The following is a 12,771-nucleotide window of genomic DNA, read 5'->3' as shown; positions in this document are numbered from 1 at the left end:
TAGTTTGGTCTTTTCTGAGACAGGGTCTCATTGTCACTCAGGCTGGAGTGCAGTGGCACAATCAAAGCTCACTGCAGCCTTGCCCTCCCAGGCTCAGCCTCCCACACAGCTGGGACCACAGGCGTGAGCCATCGTGCCCAGCTTATTTTTGTACAGTTTGTAGAGATGGGGTTCTCTATGTTGCCCAAGCTGGTCTCAAACTCTTGGGCTCAAGTGATCCGCCTGCCTTAGCCTCCCATAGTGCTGGGATTATAGGCATGAGCTACCATGCCCGGCCTAGCTTGGTCTTTTATTTAACGGCAGGAGTAGAAAACTATCCTCTCTCATCCTTGGTTTTTCCTTTTTCATTTCCAAGGCTTCAGGTACACACAAAAGAATTAATCATAAATTTTGACTCATGACACACTGTTGCCACTCGTATATGCCCTTCTAATTTACTAATAAATAATGGCATACTTTGAATCCAAATCAAGAACACGAATAATTTTAATATCTTGTAGCTCCCAATGTGCTCCTTCCCTTATCCCATTTTCCTGTTTCACACTTGAGATAACCACTATCAGAAATTTACCATCTCCTTGTTTTTAAAAAAAGTATAAGCTGTATGCTATTTATATTTTTCTTTGATTTTCCACTTTCTAAAAAGGTAGTATACTTGATGTAGTCTTCTGAGATTTGCTTTTTTCACTCATCATTATGCCACTATGATCTAGGTTACTGCATACAGCTGTATTTTACTGATTTTCTCTGCTGTACAACACCCCACTGTGTGCCTATACCTTAATTCATTTATCCACTCTTTTGTAGATAGGTTAATCCCAATTTTAGTACAATAAGCACTCTTGTATATGCCTCCTGATGCAAATATGCAAGATTCTTTTGTGTGTATATATATTTGAAGTCGAATTGCTGGGTCATTGGATACATGCATTGTTCAACTTCACAAGATAATGCTTTTATGAGATAATTTTATGAAATCATTTTTCAAGTGGCTGTAATACTTTCTCAATTATTATCTGTATTAAAAGACACTACCTGATCCCTCTTTTCCATTACTTGTGATTGTCTGACTTCTCCATTTTTGTCAATAAAATGGTGTAGAATGTGGTCTTGATTTGTATTTCTTACTTTACTAATGGGGTTGAACACAGTATAGGTCCTATATGCTATTTTCTCCATGAAATGCCTATTAATTAACTTTACCTATTTTTCTACTGGGACTCTTGACTTACACTGGTTTTGTAGGAGAGAAGTTCTTATGTATTTATTCTCGGTATTAATTGTTGGTTATATATGTGCCAAATATCTTTTCCCATTTTGTGACTTGTATTTTCACTTTCTTCAATCTTTTAAGGTTAATGGTTTTTGTGACTTGTTTAAGGCATCCTTTCCTACTCAGAGATCAAAAATATATTCAGGCTGGGCATGGTGGTGCATGCTTGTAGTCCCAGCTACTCAAGAGGCTGAGGTAGGAGGATCACTTGAGCCTAGGAGTTTGAGTCCAGCCTGGGCAACACAGCAAGACCAAGCCATTAAAAAAAAAAAAAAAAAAAATATATATATATATATATATATATATGTGTGTGTGTGTGTGTGTGTATGTACATATACACACACATATGTAATTAAAAATTTTTTTCTCCTATATTTTCTAAAAGTTTTAAAGTTCTCCTTTAATCTATATGGAGTTGATTTTTGAGCTGAAGTAGGAATCTTTTTTTTTTAATTCTTATGGACAGTCAAATATCCCAACCCCATTTACTAAACAGTCTATCTTTTCTCCATCATCTGCAGTGCCACTTCTGTTTTATAGCAAGCATATTCTATATGTGTAAGCCTGTTTTCTGGGATCTCTATCCTGTTCCATTGTTCTATTTCGTACTAATCTACTTATTACTGCTCTTAATTATGTAATGTATCTTTGAAAATAAGTCCCAATATTTTGTAAGGCAAGTCAGTGCTTCAGCTTTTTTCAGAAATTAGTTATTTTTACCTTTTCTCTGCTTTTCCATATACATTTTACAATCACTTTGATATATTTAAATTTTTTTATTCATGATTTGAAGAAAGCTCACAGTTTCCCATTTTGCATTATTTTCATTTTAGGTTTTGTAGTTTTATCTGTCAGATTAAGGAATTTACATTGTATCCTTGTTTATTATAAGTAATCATTCAAGGATATTGAATTTTATCAAAAGTTTTTCTTGCCCACTCTGAAATGATTTCTTCTACTTTAATGTTAACCTACACACATATATTAGCCATGCACTTATAATATAAATAAGAAGTAATCAAGGTGCATAAAATTTTTTTAAAGTATAATTTAGCTTGCTCACTTAAAAAATATCTTTTAAAGGTACCAACATTCTCAGTGATACAGGTATATTTTTTACACCATCTTAATATTACGAAAAATTTCAGCCAAACAAAAGAGTTGAAAAAAGTTTTATCATGAACACTCTCTAACGACCATCATCTAGATTCTACCATTAAAAACATTTTTGGTGAGTGAGATAGAGTCTCACTCTGTTCCCCAGAAGAAAGGGCAGTGGCACAATCATAGTTCACTGCAGCCTAAAACTCCTGGGCTCAAGTGATCCTCCTGCCTCTGCCTCCCACGTAGCTGAATTTACAGGCACAGGCCACAATGCCCAGTTAATTTTATTTATTTATGTTTTTCAGAGATGGGGTCTCAGTACATTGTCCAGGTTGGTCTAAAACTCCAGGCTTCAAATGATCCTCCTGCCTCAACCTTCTAAGAGGCTGGGATTCTGGGTGCAAGCTACTGAGCCTGGCTCCTGGATCCTACCTTTAAGATTTTTTCTGCTGGGATGAACACACACACTACACACACACACACACACACACACACACACACACACACACACACACACACACGTATACATGTATGCATATGCATACACACACACCTATATCCATTTTACTTTCAATGCATTTCAAGGTAAACTGGAGACTTCAGTATACTCCCCGTTTTTTCCTTGAGATAAAATGTACATGCAATAAAATGCACAAATTTTTAGTGTACATTTGCTCAGTTTTGTCAAATGCATTCACCACTGTAACTCAAGTCCCTACACCAATATACAGAACAGTTGTTCTCAATCGTCAACTTATATCTGAATCATCTGGAGAGAGACTGTTAAAATACAGAATGATGGGCTCTACCCTCAGAGTTACTGATGAATTAAGTCTGGAGTAGGGCCTAAGAATTTGCATTTCTAATAAAACTCCAGGTAATGCTGGTAACCTTTAGAACCACTGATAGGGACCATAACTATCATCCCTGAAAGTTCCCTCATGTCCTTTCCCAGTCAATCCCCAGCTCCCTGCAGCCACTCTTCTGATTTTTTCCAGTATAGATTAGTTTTACCTCTCCTAGAATTTTGTATAAATGGAATTATAATATGTACTCTTCTACGTAAGGCTTCTTTTACTCTGCACAATGTTTTCATTATTTATCTATGTTGCTGTATGTATTAATACCCTGTTCCTTTTTGATGTGGAGTACTATTAAATTGCATGGGATTGTCATAGTTTATTTATCCATTCACTGGTTGATAGAGATAAAATATTTTATTGTAAACTCGGAAAGATCTTGCTCTGGATTACAAAGGACAGGAAGAGATGAAACAGGTTACTCTTAACTGTTTTTCATTGCCTGTATTTTCCTTACAAACTAGAAAATGGTCAGTCTTAGATCTTAAGTAATTAAAATGAATGGCACTGTAAAATCTATTTAATTTTTGTGTACCCATCACATGGCTATCAATGTGTTTTTTGAAGAAGACTGTCATAAAGGGCTACTCAATTTATGGTAGTGGTTTAAACTAACTGGAGTACATTTTAGAAATAAAAAAAATGTGAGGACCTTCAGGACAGAAGTTAATCTTCCACATCCTACTGAAAAATGCCAAAAAACTATGAATTGTTAAAGGTTATAAAGGAATGATAGCACCATACATTTAAAAATGACATACTGGCCAGGCACGGTGGCTTGCGCCTATAATCCCAGCACTTTGGGAGGCCAAGGTGGGCAGATCACCTGAGGTCTGGAGTTCAAGACCAGCCTGGCCAACATGGTGAAACCCCGTCTCTACTAAAGATATAAAAAAATTAGCCAGGCGTGGTGGTGGGTGCCTGTAATTCCAGCTACTCGGGAGGCTGAGGCAAGAGAATCACTTGAACCCAGGAGGCGGAGGTTGCAGTGAGCGGAGATCGTGCCACTGCACTCCACCCTGGGCGACAAGAGTGAAACTCCGCCTCAAAAACAAAAACAAAAGATATACTAAAAGCTTGAGTAATATAGTGACATCCTGTCTCAAAAAAAAAAAAAAAAAAAAAAAAGGCTAAACATGGTGGTGCATGCCTGTGGTTCCAGCTACTTGGGAGGCTGAGGAAAGAGGACTGCTTGAGCCAGGGAGGTTGAGGCCACAGTGGGCCATGATGGTGCCACTGCACTCCAGCCTGCATGACACAGCGAGACCCTGTCTCCAAAAAAAAAAAGATATACTAACATAATTATTTAGACAATGAACAGAGTTTAGTACATGTGGGAATTTGAAGCTATTTTAGTAGTACTTCAAGTTTCCCTAAAAAAAAATTCAATAAATGGGGAGAGTCAATGATCTACAAAAAACAAACAACAACAACAAACCCCAAAAACCCAATCCAAAAATAAAAATTAGAAATATCTGAAATTGGACTGAATGCAATGCATGCATATGTGCTCATGTAAAAACAGTAAGCATGTTAATTATTCTGGACTCAAGAATTTGTAATAACTCCAGCAGTCCATTCTTTATATCCTTCCTAGCTTTTCTTAACATTTATGCATATATGTTATAATTGCTCAGAGTAGTTATGTCTCTGTCATATATATATATATGAGTTTGCTTTCTTTCACTAAACCAAACTCTGCTAGTATAAGGAAATATATCACAAAGTCACAATATCATTGGTAAACTAAGTTGCTGGCAGAAACTAAAGTAGGAAAGCATAGAATAGAGAGCATGAATAGGATGGATAAACTAACTTACTAACTAAATAAATGGGACTAGAGAATAAAGATACAAAGAATGTACAAGTAAAACTATCATTGTTAAGAGAGTATAAATCTGGTCATGTCCCTTCTGCTTCTAATTTGCTAATACAAGATGACATTATTGTAGATTCTTTTTAGTAATCCTAAATAGTGACATTTCTGATAATTACATTGAATTCTTACTTGATCATTTATAATAACTATCAAATGAAATATATGATTTAGAGCCTTTTAGAAATCATGATGTACCTTTTGGGATGGCTGACATAAACTTAACTAAGGTGGTCATAAGGTTCTATGATATAGAGCTAACTATTTGATTTAGGAAAGAAATGATGCCAAATATATCATGTAAAAATATGAAATGAAAGATGATTTAAGAAGACAGTCTAAGATTACACATTGAAAACACCATGAAGGTTTTTTAAAAAAGACATCTTAAGAAAGTAATGTACTACTTTTACCACCACACCAAAATGGCTAAAGTTTTAAAAAAAGTGACAATAATGAGAACTGGTGAGGATGTGGAGCAACCGGAACTTTCATACACTGATGGTGGAAATGAAAAATGGTTTAGCAATTTTGGAAAAACATTTTGGCAGTTTCTCACTCACCATATGACCCTGTAATCACATTCCTGGGAGTTTACCCAAGATAAATGAAAACATACATCTACACAAAACCTTACACACCAATATTCACAGAAGCATTATTCATAACACCCCAAACTGGAAAGAACCCCAAAGTCCACAAAATGGTGAATGATAAAGAAATTATGATATATCCACACTACTGAAACTACTCAGTAATAAAAAGATATATTAATATATTAGCAACAAGAATGAATCAACATTCTAAGTTTAAAAAGTCAAACACAAGATTACATACTGTATGACTCCATTGATAGGAACAATGTACATGAAAAGGTACAACTACAGTGAGAAAAAGTAGATCAATAGTTTTCTAGGGCCAGGAAGAGAGGATCAACTGCAAAAAGGCATTTTAGGGTGAAATCCTGTATGTTCATTGTGTTGGACGTTACATGACTGTATATCATCACTTAAATTCATCAAAGATCAATCACTGAAAATGAGACAACTAGATATGTGCTTCCTGCTGTGATGCAATAATATTCAACACCACCTATGAGGTATTTGTCTCCTAGATTAAAAATTGAACTTTAATCATATTAAGCCTCTAGATTTCACTAAGAGTTTACTTGAAAACTGGTGGATAGAGGAACAACTTAAATGACACCAGAAAAAAAGTGGACTATTAAATCCAGAATGTGGGAGATTCTACAGAAAAACATACAAGTCGCATGAGAAAAGGGAGGTAAGGGGCAAACTAACATAAGAGACTTAAGAGTATATCAACCAAAGCAACTGCAAACCAACTATAAAAATACATTTTTGAGACAGGAAAATATGAACACTGAATAGGTATTAGTTATGGAATAATGCATTATTATTTTGGTATAAATGATAATTTTTTAAAAAAGTCATCTGCTACAGATAGATAGATGCTAAAGTATTTATGAATGAGATAATATAAAGTTTGGCCTTTGTTTTAAAAGTATTACAGGCTGGGCATGGTGGCCCACACCTGTATCTCAGCACTTTGGGAGGCCGAGGTGGGCAGATCACCTGAGGTCAGGAGTTTGAGACCAGCCTGGCCAACATGGCGAAACTTCATCTCTACTAAAAATACAAAAATTAGCTGGGTGTGGTGGCAAGTGCCTGTAACCCCAGCTACTTGGGAGGCTGAGGTAGGAGAAACCCTTGAACCCAGGAGGCGGAGGTTGCAGTGAGCCGGCCAAGATGGCGCCACTGCACTCCAGTTTGGGCAACAGAGTGAGACTCTATCTCAAAAAAAAAAAAAAAAAAAAAGTATTATGGAAAACAAAAGAAGAAAGAAAGAAAAGGAGAAAACCAGATAGGGGAAGGATAGCTATAACAAGACTGGGAAAATGCTGATAATTTTTGAAGCTGGGTGATGGATATTTCTGCCTGTGTGAAATTTTCTAAAATAAAAAATTTAACAATTCATAGGGAGATAAACATTTCTATTTATGAAACTTAAAAAAAACCCACTAGTTGTGGTTTGACTCTGTACTACTAAAGGAAATTCTATGCATAACATACTAAATCATGTAATTATATTTTTAATGCAATATATTGATCCATTTATAAATCTTGTATCTATTAATCACAGAGATTAAAGAAAAAAAATTATCTGGAAAGAAAGTAAGATAGAATTTTAGTTAATGATTCAGAAAACTTACTTGTACAATAGACAACTGAAGGCCAGGCGCAGTGGCTCATGCCTATAATCCCAGCACTTTGGGAGGCCGAGGCACGCAGGTCACCTGAGGTCAGGAGTTTGAGACCAGCCTGGCCAACATAGTAAAACCCCGTCTCTACCAAAAATACAAAAATTAGCCGAGTGTGGTGGTGGACACCTGTAATCCTAGCTACTCTGGAGGCTGAGGCAGGAGAATTGCTTGAACCCAGGAGGCAGAGGTTGAAGTGAACCAAGATTGTGCCACTGCACTCCAGCCTGGGCGACAGAGTGAGAGAGCGAGACTCCACCTCAAAAAAAAAAAAAAAAAAAAAAAAACCACAACCAGGCAACTGAATTAATTATAGAAATTAACAAAATCATCCAGCCTAACATATTGAAATAAATTTTCCCTACCAAAAGAACTAAAAAGGTTCTTTTAAATCATACAGTCCAAAAAAAAAAAAACACCAACAACAAAAAACTAACCTATTAAATTTTAGGTTATCAGGAGTCAAAAGAACACTCACGTTTTGAAGCAGTTGCTCAAACCAGTCATATCCAGTATCTCTGCATGCTGCAACCTAAGGGTGATGAAAAGAATCAAAGTTAGAAGTATATTTATAAATGTGAATAAAATATACTTTTGTTATGCTTTAGCCTGAAACATGTTTCAATTTTCTCAATTCAAAAGTTTATTTTTAAAGTAAACTATTTTTTCAGTAACACAACCATTTACCAACGTTACAGAACTTTATTCTAAAAAATATCTTGGAAAACATTGAAGAAATTAGTTTAATGTATTGAGGTTTAATATGGCACTAAATGTTTAAAGTGGCATAAGTTTAAAATGGCACAATAACTTGAACTACACTCTGTGAGGAAAATCTGTAATATCTTAAACATTAAGAACAAAAATATTTTTCTTATTACGCTTCTAGATGGCACATTTTAAAGACATCAATAGAAATGTAGAAGATGATGTAATTGAATATACAGAATTTTTCTTTCTTTTCTTTTTTTTTTTTTGAGAAGGGATCTTGCTATTATATTGCCCAGGCTGGAGTGTAGTGCCTATTCACAGGCATGATTACAGTATACTGCAGCTTTGAACTCCTGGTTCAAAGATCTCTTGATCCCCCGTCTCAGACTCCTGAGCAGCTGGGATTATAGGCATATGCGCTGTGACTGGCAAAAATTTCTTATATTAAAAACACAAAATGTATAGCTTATGCATAATAAAAAATGTAGCTAATCCATATTCATAATTTCTGAAAAAAGTAGGCATTACTATCTTTGCAGATTATTACCCTTGGGCGATTGTATCTGTTCTTCCATTTCTCCTTTCCCTCCCTGTTTTTAATTGCTGGAGGAATAGGAAAATCTCAGTATCAGTGTTTACATCAATTAATGCCAAGAAGTAGGGCTATATGGAAGCATCAACGACATGTTACTTGCATCCCTTCAGCATCTCCAGAAATATAAAGTAAAGGCAGCAGTACGAAATGTCAAGATTAATGAAATATCTCATTATTGTCTCTTCCTTCATAAGACATGTAGGCCTCAATTAGGTCTGGATCAACAGTGACCACACCCTTGTTCCAGTCCTTCTTACCACATCGGTAATGTTTAAAATTTTCCTTGTCATTGCTTCTTTGTCATTGTGTGGAGTTGGAGTAAACCAGAGTTTCTGGAATGTTTCATTTACTAATTTCTAGAAGGAAGAGAAATTTCAAATTAACTAATTATAACAAATACGGCAATTTCACAATTCCAAATTCTCATTAGGCCCAACACAAAGCTATAAATAACTAATCAAAACACAAACTGCCAGGAATTTCTGGTATTAATTTCCTCAGTTTTTTCTAAAACTACTAATTTCTCAAAACTATAAAAATTTTCAATTTGGTAAAGATTTTAAACAATACGAATGGGTGATACTATCCCTAGCCTAGAACTTCTTCATACTATACACTCAAATGTTTATGATCAAACTAAAAAATATATTTACTGCTTTTGGAGAAGAAGTTGTTACAGTGTTTGCTAAACTTAAAAAAAAGGGACAATTATACATATTATTATATATAAATGTAAATTTACTAATGAATTTAGGACTAAACTTAAAATTTTTTTTTTATGGATACATAATAGCTGTACACATTTATGAAGTATAGTTGAACTTTTGATACAAGCATACAATGTATAATGATCAAATCAGGGTAACTGGGGTATCCATCGCCTCAAGCACTTACCATTTCTTTGTGTTAGGAACATCCTATTTCCATTCTTCTAGTTATTTTTAAATGTACAATAAGTTATTGTTAACTATAGTCACCCTATTGTGCTACTGAACACTAAATTTTATTCCTTCTGGGTGTATTTTTGATAACTGTGAACCAACCCCTCTTTATTCAACCCCTCACAACCCTTCCCTCCCTCTGCTAACCATCTTTCTATTCTCTATCTCTATGAGATAAATTTTTTTTAAGCTTCCACGCATGAGTGAAAATATGTGCTATTTTCTGTGTCTGGCTTATTTCACTTAACATAATGAAACAAAGTATTTATTTAATAATTTAGAAAACTAAAATCATTTGAAAATTAAAATAATCCCATGAGAAACCTTTGAATATAATGCAATCTCTTATAATAACAATCAATAAATCAATCAACACACACATGCACATTTTTTGAGATGGAGTCTCACCCTTGCCCAGGCAGGAGTGCAGTGGCAAGATTACAGCTCACTGCAGCCTTGAATTCCTGGGCTCAAGTAATCTTCCTGTGTCAATCTCTAGAGTAGCTGGAACTATAGGCATGCTCTACTATGTTTGGTGAAATTTTTAAAAATTATTTTCATCATTTTATTTTTTATAGAAATAGGATTCTTACTATGTTGCCCAGGCTGATCTCCAACTCCTGGCCTCAAGCCATTCTCCTGCCTTGGCCTCCCAAAGTGCTGGGATTATAGGCATGAGCTACTATGGCCAGTCTTAAATAAATATTACCACTGAGGAATTGGTTGGTTAAAATCAGATTATAATACTTAATATAAAAATCTAGAAACAAAAAAAATTAAAGTATGTATTTTTCTTAAGTTTATAAACTATAAACGATTCATTGTAAAGTGTTTGGATATATTTAAAATCAACATTTAGGTGCAATAAACATTTAACTTATTTTAAACATTAATGAAAAATAAATTTAAAACAGTCAACACTACCTTAATGCCCTCTTCATCATTGACTCTGCGAATCATTTTTACACACATTTCTGTGATTTTTGGAAATGTTGGTTGTTCAATACAAATGTCTCTGAGAATCTTTATTACTCTTTTCCTGACACTGATACCAGTATCCTAAAAACAGAAAGGTATTTTTAAGAGTCAGAAAAATTGAGATGCCTAGTGTATGAAATTAGAAAATAAGTATCCATACGCAGTATATTCACTATTTGTTAACATGATAAACACACTTGACATATTTGCTTTTTACATGCTTTCTGCTACTATAAATGTGTTATTTTTTTATGTTGTCTTTACTTTTAAAGTATGATATCTAAGACATAGAAACATATTTTATAGTTAAGCCCTGGACACAAGACTAGAAGTATACGCTTGTCAAAATTAAATGAGAAAACAAACATAAGCTTTAGAATAGTGTCTGGCACTTAAACAGCACATGAAGTATCACTTAAAAGTAGACTTCATAAAAATGTTTAACCTGAATCTAATCAAACCTTTGGCACTATCTTATGGTTACTTCTTTTTTTTTTTTGGGATGGAGTTTTGCTCTTCTCGCCCAGGCTGGGGTAACAATGGTGCGATCTCAGCTCACTGCAACCTCTGCCTCCCAGGCTCAAGCGATTCTCCTGTCTCAGCCTCCCGAGTAGCTGGGATTACAGGTGCATACCACCACGCCTGGCTAATTTTTGTATTTTTAGTAGAAACAGTGTTTCACCATGTTGTCAGGCTGGTCTTGAACTCCTGACCTTGGGTGATTCACCCGCCTCAGCCTCCCAAAGTGCTGCAATTACAGGCATGAGGCACTGCGCCTGGCCTATCTTATGGTTTATAAGAGATACAAAACACAAGTTAAATTAAACGAAGTGTGGGAAGATAACAAAACCGATCAGGCCTTTTTAATCCGTCAATGTCATATGGGATGTAAAAAAAAAAAAAAAAAAAAAAAAAGAATAAGAAAATAGTCTTCAATTTTAAGACATGACCCCCAAATGCAATGTATTACCTTTGACTGAATTCTGATTCTTAAAAAAGAAGAATGAAAAAACATTTTTAGGACAATGGAGGATCTAAGAACTAGTATTCAGATGATACTAGAGTGCTAATTTGGGTGAGATAATGGTTTTGTTTATATAGCACAGTATCTTTTTTTGGTGTTACAAACTGAAGTGTTCACAAGAAAAGAAGTAAAAAATGTTTGACTTAAAATAATTTAGCAGAAAGTACAGATGAAGTATGGAGGTAGGTACAAGGGTGTTCACTGTACTATTTTTCTTTAACAAACTTTCATATTAAAGAGTTTTAAAAATAAAAAGCATCATACATGAAGTGTGCAAAATTATTAATCTCCATTATGTGATTTTAGCAATCCCCAAAATATTTTAGGATATTTTACTAGGGTTACAAATATCAGAGTTTATCAGATACGTGGGAATCCTGTTGATTTTACCCTTCAAAAGATGGAAGCCCTAAGAAGGAAAAAAATTTTTCCAGCTTTTCTTTAAATTATTTGTTTCTCAACCAAGATTTATGCCTAGTTGAAGCTAAAAATGACTCTATACTTCTGTCACACAATGTTCTGATATTAGGCCAAGGGTGACAAAATAAACTCTTGTCATTGAGGTAATACTTAATTTTGTGCACTAGTGCATCTATGTTGAGTTCTACAATAAGTCAATATGCCTGCAATGGGTAGTGTGGAGATTCCACAGATATTTCCTAATGCCAATGTTTCCTTTCATTTTTCAGAAAAATGCTTCAGAGCCAGAGAATTCCATGATGTATGTAGAACCTCTTTAGTTTGCTCTTAAACCTCAATGGACTTTTGGGCTTAACTTGTAGGTATCTGAGCTATCATTAATCAGCTTTAAGGAAACAAGAAGATGCACCTAAGGGATCCAAAAATATTGTCAGGTACCAACGTTCTGTACGTGTCTCTCACTGAAATAATTCTTCCTGTTTATATATATACATACATAAATATATACATAAAATCACTCTAGATTCTTGTTCAAAAACATTTAACTACCCCATGTGGTTCCTATCATCTACTCATTGTAAACTGGTATAATTAAAAAGAAACAGCAACTGAAAAAAGGAATCCAATTATTACCAATGATTTGTTTTATGATATTGCAAGGGCTATTCTTGAAAATATGTACTTGTTTAGAAAGTGGCAATAGTTCAT

General features: G+C 34.7%; 1 protein-coding gene across 8 annotated transcripts in view; it reads right to left on the bottom strand.

The window, feature by feature from the left end:
* The window catches only part of NIPBL (NIPBL cohesin loading factor), a 189,645-nt gene that overhangs the window by 31,129 nt on the left and 145,745 nt on the right, over window positions 1-12,771 (bottom strand). For all 8 annotated transcript variants that reach the window (NM_001438586.1, NM_133433.4, XM_017009329.2 and 5 more), the window contains 3 exons: window positions 10,566-10,700; window positions 8,958-9,056; window positions 7,873-7,926 (listed from right to left, as the gene is read on the bottom strand). In NM_001438586.1, coding sequence (NP_001425515.1) covers window positions 7,873-7,926; window positions 8,958-9,056; window positions 10,566-10,700 — 288 coding nt within the window. The remainder of the gene's footprint in view (window positions 1-7,872; window positions 7,927-8,957; window positions 9,057-10,565; window positions 10,701-12,771) is intronic.

This window comes from Homo sapiens, chromosome 5, assembly GCF_000001405.40.
Source record: "Homo sapiens chromosome 5, GRCh38.p14 Primary Assembly".
Classification (NCBI taxonomy): domain Eukaryota; kingdom Metazoa; phylum Chordata; class Mammalia; order Primates; family Hominidae; genus Homo; species Homo sapiens.
This window is presented reverse-complemented; position numbering and strand designations above follow the sequence as displayed.